A 16,568-nucleotide genomic window follows, 5' to 3' on the forward strand; every position below is an offset into this window, starting at 1 on the left:
TTAAGAAGAGAGGGAATCTCCCAGCCGCCAGCCCATTGAGGCTCCCTGCACAGGACGGGACTCAGCGCCGCGGCGGTGGCATGGCCGTGCCGGGCTGTGCTGTGACCTGAGGCCTCGTCCGTGATGACCACGTCCTCGCAGAGCCTGGGGGCAGGGCCGGGGGGTGGTCAGATGCGGTGGAGCCTGTGCCCTGTGCATGACCGAAGCCACAAGCATCAAAACAGCTACATTCATGCTGAAGAGGACATTTATTTTTATTTTTGAGACGGAGTCTTGCTCTTTCGCCCAGGCTGGAGTGCAGTGGTGCGATCTTGGCTCCCTGCAACCTCCGCCTCCCGGGTTCAAGTGATTCTCCCACCTCCGCCTCCCAAGTAGCTGGGATTACAGGCACGTGCCACCACGCCCAGCTAAATTTTTTGTATTCTTAGTAGAGACGGGGTTTCGCCATGTTGGTCAGGTTAGTCTCGAACTCCCAGCCTCAAGTGATCCCCCCTCCTTAGCCTCCCAAAGTGCTGGGATTATAGACGTTAGCCACCGTACCCAGCTGGCAAAATTTCTAGGTGAAATAATAAAATAAAATAAAAATAGTGGTCGGAAATCTGTCTCCTGAGACAGAAGTGTCTGATTTTCTATAACTCAGTTAAAAGTGGTGCCAATAGAAACGCAGTTACGACGTCAATACCGGAAGGCCAGGAATGCCGCGTGGTGAAGAAAGTGGGTCCAGAGGCCCTCCCTGACCTTGGTGTGCTCGGCCTGGACATGCCTGTCACTGTTGATGAACAGCAGGTGCAGATGTGTGTGCCGCCCTGACTGGGGTCTCGGGGAGGCGCGGCGCCGTCCCACTGCCTAGAACCGGCTGGTGTGTGTTTTTGTTTATCTGCCCACAGCTCCTGGTTGAACAAATTCTCTGGTTTCATTTTTCCCATAACAAAATGAGCTTTCTCAGTAATGACAAAAGAAAACTTATGTTCTGAGGCACGGAAGCCTCCATAAAGGAGGGGAAAGTGCCCCTTATATTCCAGGGCACCCTTCAGTGGCCTGGAGGAGCCCTGCCTCCCTGGAGCCGTGCGCTAGGTCGGGCTGTGTGGCTGGGGCAGGCGTGCTTCCCATCCACCCAGCTCCAGCAGCTCCAGCTCCTGCAGGACGCACATCTGGCCCCATCTGCATTCTCTCACCAAAGCCTTCCACCAGAACCTCCCACCCACTCTGGAGCCCCTTCTCTCCACTGCCAGAGCCAAGGAGGCGGCCGCAGGAGTCATTCTGGGGGTCAGAAGCTGACCTCTGCTCTATTCCCTCTATTCCTTCGGGGATTTTGTGACCATGGCCAAGTCATGGTGGCAGGACCTCAGCTCCCCTGTGTGCACCTGGGGTTGGCGTCATAGACCGTCTCCATGGCCTGCCAGCCCCAGTAGGTTTGTAACCGCATCTGAGGCCACTCGTGGCTTGATAAAGAAGAAAGAGACAGGCCGAGGGAGGGAGGTGGAGGTGAGGGTGGCGATGAGATGCGTTGGGGAGATGCAGAAGGAGCTAGAGAGGGAGGTAGTGAGGGGGAGTGGAGCAGGGCAGAAGCTGGGCAGATCCACCCAGCCCAGCACCCCTGCCCAAGGGAGTGCGGGAGCCTGGGTGGGGAAGAAGTGTGGGAGGAACAGGGGAGACCCTGACTTCATGCCGCTCGCAGGCAGGGCCCTCCCTGTTGGTGAGGGGGTGCTTTTAGGCAGGTGTTCCTGGTCGGGGGAGGCCAGTCTAGATCAGAAGAGCAGGCTTGACCCCTCCTTGGCCTTTAGCAGTGCCTTGAGGCCGAGTGAGGGTCCTAGGCTGGTGGACGTGGCTCTCGAGAGGCCTGTGGACTGATTCCACCACACGTGGCTGCCTCTCCGTGAGCCGCACGGGCAGCGTGCTAGGCCTGCGTGCCTCGCCGGAGGGAGGGCTGAGTCGCACTGGCTGGGACATGGGAAACACGCCACCCAGCCACGCCAACTCCGAGGCAGACGAATGCCACTTTCTGCATGATATTTCCCCCAGATGTCCGCATCTTTCCCCCAGATGTCATCAGTGCCTGCTTCCCTCCCTGTGGAGGGCTCTGAGGGCCGACCCCCAAAGTCCATCTTTCCCCCAGATGTCATCAGTGCCTGCTTCCCTCCTTGTGGAGGGCTCTGACGGCCGACCCCCAAAGTCCATCTTTCCCCCAGATGTCATCAGTGCCTGCTTCCCTCCCTGTGGAGGGCTCTGAGGGCCGACCCCCAAAGTCCATCTTTCCCCCAGATGTCATCAGTACCTGCTTCCCTCCTTGTGGAGGGCTCTGACGGCCGACCCCAGGGTGGGAGAGGGCCAGCCCCCCAGCAGCAGGAGCAGTTTAAACTGCGGGTAAGTGTGCTCCAGGGGCCCTGGTTCTGCAGAGCCACACGCCGAGGCTCCTGAGCTATGTGAGGAATCCAGGGTGCAGCTCACTGCGTGTCGCCCAACTGCCCTGGGAACCGGCACTGCAGGGTCAGGTGCATCCCTTTCCATGTGAGCTCCTGGCCAGCCCAGGCAGACAGGGGAGGCCACACAGCTTCCAGGCAGGCAGCGGCTGGGCCTGAGCTGGCCCATACCTGCCGGGCTCCTGTCCCACCGGCTGTGTCCGGCCAGCCAGGGCTGGGGACATACACACCTGAGCTGCTCTCAGGAGCACTTTTACTGGAACCTCGAGGAACCTCAACCTCCTTGTTTCTAGGTTGCAGCTCCATTACGTGCTCTGCAAGTGAAAGATGCTGAGGTGGACACTAACGTCGGGAGGGAAGCCTAAACATTGACGTCATCTGTGCAAAAAGTCAGGAGCATCCACAGGTCCACTCTGTCCCGGACACGTTCTCAAAGTCAGGAGCATCCACAGATCCACTCTGTCCCGGACACGCTCTCACGCTCTCTCCGGTTTGACTTTGCAATAACACAGCCCACGAGGGTCACCGTGACCTTGAAACAGTCCTGGCTACTTTAAAATTAGCTGCCCCTAGGAGCATGGAAGATGATTCATCCCGTGACAAATCTTGCCTTATGTCTCTTTTAAACACACACATCTGGGTATCAGGCAGCCTCACGGGGGCAGCTTGGTTGTGCTGGAACTCAGCCTCATTGACTCCGGTTTCATGTGCACAGAAACTGACTTTGAAACTTGCAGGAAGAGGCTGTCCTGGAAGAAGCTGCAGCCTGCAGAGACGGCCCTGGGCTTCCTGCATCGCTCCCTTCCTGCCACGGGGCTGTGCCAGGAGCTTCCATGCAGCTCTCACACACAAGGCAGGTCCCCAGCTGGCTCTCTGCAGAGCCTGACCTGAGGCACCCATTCGATGAGAGCAGGTTCTCTCAGTGTAGAACCCAGACCAGCAGAAGCCGCATCACAGGGACGCTTCAGAGACGCACTGCTCAGCCCAGAACTGCCAGGCCTGGCAGCCGGGGTGCGGGGACCCTGGGACCCTGATGTTGTGTGAGTTCAGGAAAAACAGCGTTGCCTTCCTGAATGCTGTTCCATTTACTTCTAGCTCCTACGTGTTTCTTCAAGTAAAACACAGTCGAGCCTCATTATTCATGGGCAAATTTGCCTACTTACTAGCATTTACCCTAACCCAGATTCAATACTCAGGGCACCTCCACGGTCATTGGTGGACGTCACAGCGTCACAGCAATGAGACGTGAGTTTCCTGACACGGTGTCTGGGCGGGGGCAGAACGAGCCATGCTTTGGTGTCTCGTTTGTGTGTGCGTGAGTGTGTGAATGTGGGAGTATGTGAGTGTGTGTTCATGTGTGTGTTCGTAAGCGTGTTCTCACCTCAACACTAACAACCCTGACTGGCATGTGATGGCAGCCTCATGGGGCTCCAAGCCCATGTGTATGGGCTCCCTGTCTGTGCTGGAAGGTTCTACAGCAAAAATCAGCCCCTGCTCACCAGAGGCAAACTGAGCATGAAAGGAAATGAAAGACGTGAACTTTAATGCCTCTCATGTGCCGGGAGAACGAGGTCACACAGCAAATCACGGCTCTTGGGAATCAGGATGTGTTTGAAAACTTCAGGGGCTCTGAGCCCTCATGAACCCAACCGATGGGCAAGCAGCCCAGGCCCAGGCTGGAGATGGGGATGGGGCTGGCCATGGTCCCTGCCAGGAGCTGGAAGCCACTCCCGCCCCTCCTGCTCTCTCCATGTCCACTGGACACTGTCCCTGGTCCTGGGAGAAGAGGGAAGGCCTCTCAGCCTCCACTGGAGGGACTGCTGGGCGAGCCTGATCTACACCACAGCACTCCCCACCACAGGAGCGACTTCACTGACCCCAAGGGGGACACTTCCCTTAAAAGGATCATCCCACACTGACCCTTGTCTTGGGAATCCCAAGTCGGAGGTCACGTCAGAGGCAGGAATCCAGGCTCAGGGACATCTGCCCTGTCCCCAGAGGTCTTTGTTGTCCGAAGCCCTGCATTCTCTGGCTCTAAGGAATTCTGAAGCTATTTTGGACACTGCAGCCCTTCCCAGGGTGGCCAGAAGAGGACAGGCAGGCTTGCTTGGGGTGGGAGGAAGCCGTGGTCCACACTGGAGCATAGAAACCAGCCCTGTAAGCCACCCTGCTGGCCTCACAGGTTGTAGGGAGCAAAGGCCGTGTTGAAGCCCAGGAGCCCCTCAGGAAGGAAACCCCTCAGACTAGGGAACATGGGGAGTGGGCAGCCACTCCTCCCCACCCTCAGGCCCATAAGCTGCACTCCCCACAGTCCCCAGGTTCATCCACAGGGAGGCCCCAGCAGGAAGGCAGGGCCAGGGCGCAGGGCGAGGTCGGGGGAATGGACTCCCCTGGGTTTCTCCCTGCCGATCGCTGTAGTGGTTGAGTCCTCCACTGAGCACAGCCACTCCTGTAGGCTTACCCCGCTGCAGCTCGCTCTCGGATCCTAATAAACAAGTGAGTCCTCCACTGAGCACGGCCACTCCTGTAGGCTCACCCCACTGGAGCTCGCTCTCGGACTCTAATAAACAAGTGAGTCCTCCACTGAGCACGGCCACTCCTGTAGGCTCACCCCACTGGAGCTCGCTCTCGGACTCTAATAAACAAGTGAGTCCTCCACTGAGCACGGCCACTCCTGTAGCCTCGCCCTGCTGAACCACTCCTGTAGGCTCACCCCCACTGGACCACTACTGTAGGCTCACCCTGCTGGAGCACCCTCTCGGACTCTAATAAATGAGTTAGTAGCCCTGGGCACTGTACGTCCTGTGTTGAGTTCCACAAACCCTGCCTTTGCCTTTGTAAATCATCTCCTTTTTAAAGTCTTCACAGAGTATCAATTCTGACTATGCCCTCTGCTTCTTTGTGTGTCATGTTTTTGAAATCTTTTCCAAACACACCCTCTAAAAGAGAGCCACTTACCATTTTTTTCTTCTCTTTTTTTTTTTTTTTTTTTTTGAGACTGAGTCTCACTCTGTCACCCAGGCTGTAGTGCAGTGGTGCGATTTTGACCCACTGCAAGCTCCACCTCCCAGGTTCAAGTGATACTCTTGCCTCAGCCTCACGAGTAGCTGAGACTACAGGGACCTGCCAACACGTCCAGCTAATTTTTGTATTTTTTGTAGAGACGGGGTTTCACTGTGTTAGCCAGGATGGTCTCGATCTCCCGACCTCGTGATCCACCCACCTCAACCTCCCAAAGTGCTGGGATTACAGGTGTGAGCCACTGTGCCCGGCCACATTTTCTAACTAGAATTTACGGTTTTGTTTTTGACATTTAAATCCTTAATCCACTGGGAGTTACTTTCATCTTTTTCCATATGGACAACTATTTTTTTCTAGCTCTACTGATTGATAGGTTTCCCCTGTTTCCACCAACCTGCAAAGCCATTGGTTCCACCCACACAAAAATTTGTTCCTGAGTTCTCTGTCCAATCCTGGTGCCCGTCTGTTTTTCCAGGCAAAAATCTCACATCACTTCCACTGCTATAATTTCTTAACAATCCCAACATGCGGTGGAAAAATCTCCCTTCCTCTTCAGAAGTGTCCTAGCTATTCCTGTTTTTTTAGTCTTCCATATGCATTTTAGAATAATCACATCAATTCTCACGGAACACCTTTTTGGGATTTTGGTTGGACGTCCCCCAACCCCTGTCCCTGCCTGGCCATGCTGGGGAGACGCCCACCTTCTCCAGGGGCTTCGCCGTAAGGGACAGGCCTGACACCAGGATTCTCCAAGAACTGCCTGCGTCTCTTCCTGCTGAGCACTCACCTCACCGAAACCACAACAGGTAACGAACTCGGCCGCTGGTTCCTGCCCCGGGTCTCGCCAGTGGGGGCCCAGTGCTTCTGTTCACCAGCACCAGGGGCCTGGCCCACATCCCAGACAGCAAGGTGGGAGGACACAGAGGGGCTCTGCCTGCAGAGGCCTTCCAAACCCTGCCCACCTGTGCCCCCCGGGTGGGCTGGCCAGGTCCCCTCCACTCATTCCACAGCCCGCAGCAGGTGACTTCGGGCTGGCAGCTGGTTGGGGAGGCTGCCTTTTTACCGTGCCCTGAGTGAGTCAAGGCTGAAGGCTGCTGCCCGGGGATCTCTGCGCCGACTTGCAGCAGCACACAGAGGGCTCCGTGTGGCTCTAAGGTGGGCAGGGAGAGCCAGTGGCAAGCTCAGAAGACTTCCAGAACCGCCGGCCCGTGGCAGCGGGAGTCGGCTGCGAGGCTGTCCCAAGGCCGGGTGTCCTGCAGGGCTGGGCAAAGGGCACGCTGGCCTCTGCCTCCCCTCACGGGGCCGGGCAACACCCTGGATCTTTCCCTTTTCCTTCATTTACAGAAACCCCTTGAGGGAGGCGAAGGTGGAGAGAAGAGCCAGACAGGAGACAGGAAAAGGGGAGGCAGATGGCGGGGGCGGGGGCAGGACAGGAGCTCAGAGGGAAGAGGGGGACCACCGTGGGGAGGGCAGGACGGAGAGGAGAGGGGCTGGGTGGGTGGGGCTGCAGCGTGAGGCCCCCACGACCACTGCCTTCCCAGGCTCGCCCCCCAGCCCCTTCACCTGCATCCTGGACGTGACAGTCCTAGCTCTTCCCACCCCGGCCCTCCCAGCACCCCCAGGCCTCCTCCCACAAGTTGAGGGGCCAGAAACGCCACGTGTCCCCTTCACCGGCACCTGAAGGCAGAGCAGGGGAGTTGGGTCTGGACGAGCCTCTTCACTGAGAACATCCCCAGAAAGCTCAACTTCATCGTAAAAATTCATCCACATTTGTAGTCCTGGTCTTAAGGTTTTTTATTGACTTTGCTTACCGTAAGATACACCACGCATCCACAAGTGTGTGTGTGATGTGTTTGCGTGGTTTACAGAATAACATAAAAACCATCCGAAACACACCACTGTCCACAAGCTGAGTCTGAGGCCAGGCTCCCAGGCAAGGAGGTGGTCCCTGGTGGCACGGGCAGGGTGCGTGGAGACGGGGACCCAGAGGATGCACGGGAAAAACATGCCTTTATGGTTCAGTTACCTCCCACCGGGTCCCTCCCACAACATGCGGGGATTATGGGAGGCACAATTCGAGATGAGATTCGGGTGGGGACAAACCACATCACCTGGCTACCTACTACTGTACCACGCATACCCGGCCAAGATGAGATTCGGGTGGGGACACAGCCAAGCCACATCACCTGGCTACCTACTACTGTACCACGCATACCCGGCCAGGGAAACCCCCACCCGAGGGTGCAGACTGAACTAACTAGTGCTTGAACTGTCATGAATCATGTTTATTGACAGAGAATTGGCATACAACAAGCTGCACATCAGTGTCCATTTGACATGAGTTGACATCTGTGTGTACCCACGAATCCACTGCCACCATACAGGCAGTGAACAGACCCACTTCTCAGGGTTCCTTGTGTCCTCTGTCCTGTCCTCCACAGCCACTCCCAGTCCCGACCCCAGGCAACCATTGATCTATTTTCTGTCACATAGGTTGGTTTGCATTTGCTGGAATCTTACGTGAACACAATCCTGCAGTTCACACCTTTTGGTCTGGCTTCTTTTCCTTGGCACAAGCTCTGTGCTGTTTGCCTGTGTTGTGGCCCACACTGAGTTCACTGCGTTCTACTCCTGAGTGCCCTCCGTGGGAGAGGAGCTCCGGGCTGGCTGATACACTCGCCTCCTGACAGGAGCTTGCTTTGCCTCCAGTTTGCAGCCCTCACAAACAAGGCCGCTATGAACATGTGGCTTCAGGTCTTGATGCGGATGACTGAGGACCTGAATATCTGGATCACGAGACAGGTGTGTGTTTAACTTTTTAGCAAGCGGCAAAACTGTTTTTCAGAAGGGTCGTCCTACTGCGGAAGTGAGTGGCCTTCCCTGAGTTTCCAGTCGGTGCTGGGAGTTCCCTGAGTTTCCGCACTCAGGGCCGGGAGTTCTAGCTGCTCCACACCTTTGACGACTCTTGCTACAGTCGGTCTTGTAAATTGTAACCTTTCCAGGGCCCCAGGATGAGAGAGTCTTTCGTTCCCCTTTTCACAGATGAGGAAACAGAGTCACAGAGAGGCTGAGGAATGTTCCCGAAGTCACAAACCCGGCGAGTCCTGGAGTCAGGCCTCGAGCTCTGAGCCGGGCGGAAACTCAGTGGGGGTCTCCGGAAAAGGCCTGAGCCACAGGCGCCACTCCCTACGGCTGAGGCTACAAAGCCTGCGGCACCCCCACAGCTGCTCCACAAATGGCTCCCAGAAGTGCTGACTCCCCGGTCCTTAATGGTTGGAGGCCCTGAAGTCGGAGGCCTGGTCTGAGCCGCCTCCGAGGAGGCAGAGCCCCTGCGTCCAGGTGGGGGCTGCTGGGCCTGTGGGCAGAGGGGGTGTCATGGGGCCCATGGGTGAGGAGCCACTGCCGTGGGAAGGAGGCCGCCTGGCCGCTGGGTCACCCTCACGCTCACAGTGAGCTGGGCTTTGTCTTGCCTAGAGGAACAGGAAAAGGAGCTGTGTTGGTTTCCAGTCACAGTGTGGGGAGAGAAGCCCATGAAATCCCCTGGATATGGCTCACAGAGCCAAGAGTAAGTTGCAAAAAGGTGCAGTGCCTGGGCCCCATGGCTGAGTCCTTACTCGCATGCTTGCCAGGGCATTGCTCCCGGCACGAGGCCGCCCGCCTGCAGCAGGCCCGCAGGGGCACGGTGGGTCCCCGCCCGCTCCTCATGCCTTGAGCGCGTCATCCTTCCCGGGGTTCACGGCCTCTGACAGCCAGACCTCAACACGGCCAGCACGGTGTGCATGGTGTGCACGCCTCCTGCGCCGGGGCCACCAGAGTGGGCTCTCACCGGAGGAGAAAGACAGTCGGGGAGAGCAGCGCTGTCTGTCACGCTTTGTCACGCTTTGCCGGTGTCATCTGAGAAGTGGTGCAGGGGACAAGGGGGGCGTGACAGGACTGGTCCTGCGGTAGAGACCCTCTGGGGTGGTGTTCCTGGAACTCTCCCGAAGCCTCTCTTGTTGACATGCATGCCCCACTGAGGAGGGCACACAGCAGAGCTGAGTTATACCCACACCCTGCAATCAAACATGCCCCACATCACACCTGGAGTCACGCAGACCCCAGGCAGCCTGCACAAAATGCCAAACAAGAAAAAACTGCAAGAAAACCACCGCCACACGCCTTTCTAGAACATGCAACCTAAGGATCAAATCCCACAACCAAAGGTGCACAGAGAGGTGTTGGGGAGAGGACAAGGGCAGCCTCCACACTAGAGGACAGAGTGGGGCTGGCATGGCAGCCGCAGGGACACAGCAGGCTGTGGGGCCGGGGGCTGAGCCTGGGTGTCAGCCGGCTGTGGGGCCGGGGGCTGAGCCTGGGTGTCAGCCGGCTGTGGGGCCGGGGGCTGAGCCTGGGTGGCAGCCGGCTGTGGGGCCGGGGGCTGAGCCTGGGTGTCAGCCGGCTGTGGGGCCGGGGGCTGAGCCTGGGTGGCAGCCGGCTGTGGGGCCGGGGGCTGAGCCTGGGTGGCAGCCGGCTGTGGGGCCGGGGGCTGAGCCTGGGTCGCAGTCGGCTGTGGGGTCGGGGGCTGAGCAGGCACTCTTAGGCCGTCTACCTCCGAACCCAGCTCTTCCCTTGTGGCCATGCAGGCTTGGGGAAAATGGCCTCCTCTCTGTGAACCCGGTCTCTGAAATGGGATCAGACCCCGGCCTACACTCTCTCTACCTCGGCTCCTGTCCGATTTCTGAGGTTCAGTGGATTGTCAGGTTGGATCCCCCCAGCTGGTTCAGGAGGCAAACACTGTTATTACTGCCATTTTTCAGATGAGAACCAGCTCATGAGGTCAGAGGGGCGAGCATCTGCCAAGGTCCTCCCTGGCAAGTGGACATGGGCCAGGCAGGACGGCTGCAGAAGCTGAGTGTGCCTCTCCCGCTTCACCACCCCTCGGTGTGAACTCCCTATCTATGAATTTAGAGGATGTCCTGGGTGGGTTCCCTGGAGACTCGAGCCTGAGGAAAGGGTTAAGTGCAAGAGCTTCGTGGGGACTGTGATCCAGGGAGCAGGCGGAGAGCAGAGCAGGGGACAGGCAGGGTGATGACGAGATGGAGCCCTGAGCTGACCGGCCTGGGGACCACTGGGTGTCCCATCCTCTTTCTAACATCGAAAGCTCTGCTCTTCACCCTTGGGCTTCACTGAGGGAACGAAGGGGCGCTCACGTTTATGGAGACTCTTTCCAATCCCTTGGTAGAAGTTTATCCTTTTGATGAAGTTGTTTGCGCACCTTTCAAGGCTCACTGCGGGCATTTCATGTTTCGTGACTATCGTGAAGACATTTTTTCTATCATACTATATTAGTTATTGTTGATGTATAAGAAAACTATTGGTTTGTTTTGATGTTCACCTTGCCCATGCCCATCATCCCCAACTTTTATTTATTCTGATACCTTTGCAGAGTTCTGACTGATTTCTCTTGGAATTTCTAGAGGGACAACGCTGTCATCTGCAAATAACTCAACATGCTTATTCTCCATCTCATTCCTTATCTGATCACATCATCTAGGATCTCGAGAAGTATCAAGTGTTTATTCTTATCAAATTTTATCATTTTCTTTTTGGTGATTTTAAAAGGAATGCAAAATATTTCACAATCTATTTTCAATATTTGGGAGATGACTTTTATGAAGTTAAGAATGCATGCTGGCCAGGCACGGTGGCTCACACCTATAATCCCAGCATTTTGGGAGGCTGAGGTGGGCAGGTCACTCGAGCCCAGGAGTTCAAGACCAGCCTGGGCAGCATGGAGAAACCCTATCTCTACAAAAAATACAAAAATTAGCTGGGCATGGTGGCACGTGCCTGTAGTCCCAGCTACTCAGGAGGCTGAGGCAAGAGGATTGCTTGGGCCCAGGAATTCAAGGTTGCAGTGAGCCATGATTACAGCATCGCACTCCAGCCTGGGTGACAGTGAGACCCTATCTCAAAAAAGAAAAGAAAAGGAAGAAAAGAAAGCATGCTTTGCCCCATAGCAAAAGAGTTTTTATCATCAAGTGTTGAATTTTATTGAACATCTTGGAATTTATTGATGCATCCCATGGCTTTCTGTTCTGATAAAGCAGTGACTTGTGGTCGCTGATGTCCTAATATTGACCCATCTTTATATTTCTGAATGTGATGGGATTCTGAGCCTCTGTATTTCTAGGGGAGACTAGTCTCTGTGTGATGTATGACGAATCAGAAAATTCATTCCTTATCTGATCACATCATCTAGGATCTCAAGAAGTATCAAATGTTTATTCTTATGAAATTTTATCAGTTTTTCTATGATCTGTAAGAATAACTTTGAATGGTGGGTTGTGTGTGTGTGTGTGTGTTTTGATACAGGGTCTTGCTCTGTTGCCCAGGTTGGAGTACAGTGGCCCAATCTCGGCTCACTGCAACCTCTGCCTCCCAGGTTCAAGCGATTCTCCCGCCTCAGCCTCCCGAGTAGCTGGGATTACAGGCACGTGCCACTACACCTGGCTTATGTTTGTATTTTAAGTAGAGATGGGGTTTCACCACGTTGGCCAGGCTGGTCTCGAACTCCTGGACTCGAGTAATCCGCCCATCTCGGCCTCCCAAAGTGCTGGGATTACAGGCGTGAGCCACTGCCCCCCAGCCCACTTTGAATGTTTCTGACCACTAAACAGTAAGGGTTTTGTGTGCATGGGATCATCGACTGTGTGCACTTAGGCATCTGTCTCCTCCCACGCAACCGTGACATTTGTGAGGCTCAGCCCTGCTGTCACACCTTCCTCCTCATTGCCGAAGGTCACCACGTTGTGTTAAACAACCACCGTCTCCATTTGACTGCTGAGGGACACTGGGCTATTTCTGGTTCAGACTGTGATGAACGGTGCTGCTGTGAAGGTTCCTGGACAGGTGTTTTTAGAACATGTGTGGTGGGGCGCATTCCCAAGAGAGGACTTCTTGTCAGATGCATGCATGCTCCACTTTATCAGAGAGGCCACTTCTCCAAAGAGACTGTACAATTTATGCTCCCACCAGCAGCATGGGGACGCTTCGCCCGGTTCTTATCCCCTCCAAGAGCTGGTGTTATCCGTTGTGTTCTTTTTAGCGGATTCTGGGAGATGAGTAAAAGATTAACGTAACCTTCTCTCATCAATATGGACAAGTTAATACTGGTTTAACTTTCTAGCTATGTTTCCCTGAAAATCTAATCAAGGCAGAATGTTACCCAGGACGTGACCCCTGATGGGCGCATTGCACCTAAATTTGCAGGTCTTTGCAGGCACTAGAAATATCTGCTGGGGGCACCCTTGATTTCGGTTGCCCGGGTGCAGTGACCTGCTCCTGGGCATGTTCCTTGATGCGTGCTGCACCGACCCCTCTGGAGCTGAACTAGAGATGGAACCGTAGGCCAGGGTTGTTTCACCCATCCATATGGATCTTGCTCTCCCATATTCCAGCTGCCACTTGATGGGAGAGGGGGAGAGGGGCCAGAGAAGAGGAGGCACCTTTGCTGAAAATCAATTGATCATATACACACGAATCTATTTCTGGATTCTATTCTGTTGTATTGGTTTATATTTGTTTCCTTTTGCAAACTGCACTATTTTGATGACTGCAGCTTTATAATAAAATATTGAAGACAGGGAGTAGCATTCTCCAACTCGTTCTTCCTTTTTCAACCTTGTTTTGGCTATTCTTGTTCCTTTGTGTTTTTATACAGAGTTTGTAATCAGCTTGCTAATAGTTACCAAAAAGCTGCTAGCATGTAGATTGTAATTGTGTTGTATTTATACATAATTTAGGGACAATTGACATCTTCACAACATTGAAACTTCTGATCAAGAATCTTCCGAGTCTTCATATTCCCTGCTGTGGTAAGTATTGCTTTTTGTTTCATTTCTAATTTTTCATCGCTAGTATATAGAAACACAGCCAGTTGTTCTGTGTTGCCCTTATGTCCTGCAACCTTGCTAAACTCACTTATTAATTCTAAAAGTTTGTGTATAGTCTCCTTAGGATTTCCTACAGACAATCATGTCATGTGTGATTAGTCCTTTTTTATTTCTTCTTTTCCAATCTGTACCCCTTTATTTCTTGTTCTTGCCTAATTAAACTAAGATCTCCCATGCAATACTGTATAGAAATGGTGAAAGCAGCATCCTTCTTTTGTTCCTTACCTTGGGAGAAAGATTTCGTTTTACAATATTAAGTATAAAATTATGCTCTTTACCAGGCTGAGAAAATACCCTTCTATTCCTAACTTCCTGAACTTTTTAAAGAATGGGCGTTTAATTTTGCTATATTATTTTTCTGTAGATGTGTATTTTTTGTAGGGAGATGATCCCATGACTTTTTTCAGTTATTCTACTAATAGAGTGAATTATATTGACTGACTTTTGAATGTTAAACCAACCTTGCATCCCTGAGATGGTACCTGCTGGTCAGGATTGTGACGATCCTTTCTCTGCAGTACTGGGTTTTCTTTGCTAACATTTTGTCAAGGATTTTTGCAGGATATTGATCTGCAGTTTTCTTTTCTTGCAGTGTCTCTGTCTGGTATCAGAGTAATAGAGGCCTCACGAAATGAATTGGGAAGTTTCCCTTTCTCCTCTGTGTTCTAAAAGAGCTTCTGTAATTTGCAATTATTCCTTCAATAAATATTTTATAATATTTACCAGTGAAGACATCTGGGCTAGGGGTTTTCCTCCTAAATGGCTTTTAATTGAGTTTAATTTATTCAACAGACATGGAGCTATTCAGTTTTTAAAATTAAAATTGTTCACAAATGGTATTTTATAAATTCTCTATTTTCATAAGTAGCATTTATTACCCTTTTTATTTTTTAAGAGACAGGGTCTCACTCTGTCACCCTGGCTGGAGTGCAGTGGCGTGATCATAGCTCTCTGTAACCTTGAACTCCTGGGCTCAGACAATCGTCCCGCCTTGGCCTCCCAAAGTTCTGGTATTGCTGGCGTGAGACTCTGAGCCTGGCCCATCTTTTTAATATCTGTAGGATCTTTCTTTCTTCTATTTTTTCATTCTTGATATTGGAAATTTACGTCAGTACCCTTTAAAAAAAAATCAGTCTGGGCCAGGCGCGGTGGTTCACACCTGTAATCTCAGCACTTTGGGAGGCCAAGGTGGGTGCATCACTTGAGGTCAGCAGTTCCAGGCCAGCCTGTCCAACATGGTGAAACCCCATCTCTACTAAAAATACAAAAATTAGCCGGGCGTGGTGGCTTATGCCTGTAATCCCAGCTACTCAGGAGGCTGAGGCAGGAGAATCACTTGAACCCAGGAGATGGAGGCTGCAGTGAGCCGAGATCACACCATTGCACTCCAGCCTGGGCAACAGAGTGAGACTCCATCAAAAAAAAAAAAATCAGTCCAGACAGAATTTCCAGAAGACAAAACAAAACAAAAAAACAGCAGCTTTTGGCTTCAGTAATTTTTCTCTACTGTTTTGGTCTGCTTCCTATTTTTCATTAATTTCAGTTCTGATATTTATTATTTCCTTTCTTCTGTTTACTTTGTGCTTAATTTGCTTTTTTCCTGGCTTCTTCAGTTGGAGGCTCAGGTCGTGTCTTTGTGCTCCTTCTTTTCCGCATTTAGTGCTATAAATTTCCCATTAAGCGCTGCATTAGCTTTTCCCCAGAAATTTGGATATGCTGTTATTTTCAATTAACTAAACAAAGTTTTAATTGTCTCCCAAGAGTCATACAATTTATTGAGAAATGTGTTGTTTAAAATTTCAAAATATGTTGGGACTTTCCAGATAACTATTTTTTACTTCTTGCTTAACTCTGTTATGACCTAAAAGCATACTTTGTAGGATTTGTGTTTTTAAAAATTTGTTAAGATATATCTTATGGCCCAGGATATGGTCTATCTTGGTGACGTCCATGCACATTTGAGAAGAATGTTCTAAGCTGTTGCTGGGTGGTGTGTTCTATGAACATCAATCAGCTCTAGGTGCTGGATAGTGTTGCTCATGCCCTCTGCATCATTACTGATTTTTCTGTCCATGTGTCTGACAATTACCGAGAGAAGAGAGATGAAGTCTTAAAGCATAACTGGGGATCTGTCTATTTCTCTTTCCAGTTCGATGGGTTTTTCTTCATGGGGTTTGAAGCCCTGTTGTTTGGTACATGCTCATTTATGACTGTGATGTCTTCTTGGAGCCCTGACCCTCATTATGATGCAAAGTCCCTCATCATCCATGTGGATGCTCCTTCTAGATCTACATCTACATCCACGTAGATGTTGAAATCTATTTGTCAGAGATGAAGCAGCGACTCCACCTTTCTTTTGACTAGTGCTTGAATGGTGTATTATGTTTAACTCTATATATGCCTTTAGATTCAAAGTGCATTTCTTGTAGCCACGATATAGTTGAATCCTGCTTTTTAAAATCCAATATGACAGGTCAGGCGTGGTGGCTCACGCCTGTAATCCCAGCACTTTGGGAGGCGGAGGCGGGCAGATCACGAGGTCAGGAGATCAAAACCATCCTGGCTAACACAGTGAAATCCTGTCTCTACTAGAAATACAAAAATATCAGCCAGGCATGGTGGTGAGCGCCTGTAGTCCCAGCTACTCAGGAGGGTGAGGCAGGAGAATGGTGTGAACCCGGGAGGCAGAGCTTGCCGTGAGCCGAGATGGCGCCACTGCACTCCAGCCTGGGAGACAGCGCGACTCTGTCTCAAAAAAATAAAAAAATAAAAATAAAATAAATAAAATCCAACCTGACAATCTATCTTTTAACTGGTATGGCTAGACCATCCACATTTAATAGATTATTGATACAATTGGATTTTAAGCTACCATTTTGTCACGTGTTTTCTATTTGTTACATGTTTTTTGCTTCTTTTGCTCGCTTTTCTGCCTTCTCTTGGTTAACTGAGCATTACTTTATCATTCCATTTTATGTCCTCTTGTCCTATAACTTATACCTCTGTTAGAAAATTGTACTCACTGTCCTAGGGTTAAGTCTTAAATTAATCAAAGTTTACCTTCGGATAGTATGAGACTGCTTCACGTATAGTGTAAGGACCCCACAGCAGTATTTTCCCAACAATTTCTTCCATGCTCTGTGAATTATCATCACATGGTTTACCTTGGAGCATGTTATCAACACAATACAAC

At 51.8% G+C, this 16,568-nt stretch overlaps 2 annotated features.

Annotated features, from left to right (window-relative positions):
• Positions 4,411-5,222: an enhancer, noted in NCBI's record as "H3K4me1 hESC enhancer chr21:46808325-46809136 (GRCh37/hg19 assembly coordinates)". NCBI's record gives its function as "activates a minimal SCP1, AML or CMV promoter by ChIP-STARR-seq in primed H9 embryonic stem cells {active_cell/tissue: H9 hESC(primed)}" and the evidence as "EXISTENCE:reporter gene assay evidence [ECO:0000049][PMID:30033119]".
• Positions 8,224-8,724: an enhancer, noted in NCBI's record as "H3K4me1 hESC enhancer chr21:46812138-46812638 (GRCh37/hg19 assembly coordinates)". NCBI's record gives its function as "activates a minimal SCP1, AML or CMV promoter by ChIP-STARR-seq in primed H9 embryonic stem cells {active_cell/tissue: H9 hESC(primed)}" and the evidence as "EXISTENCE:reporter gene assay evidence [ECO:0000049][PMID:30033119]".

The sequence above is a fragment of the Homo sapiens genome, chromosome 21 (genome assembly GCF_000001405.40).
Source record: "Homo sapiens chromosome 21, GRCh38.p14 Primary Assembly".
Taxonomy (NCBI): domain Eukaryota; kingdom Metazoa; phylum Chordata; class Mammalia; order Primates; family Hominidae; genus Homo; species Homo sapiens.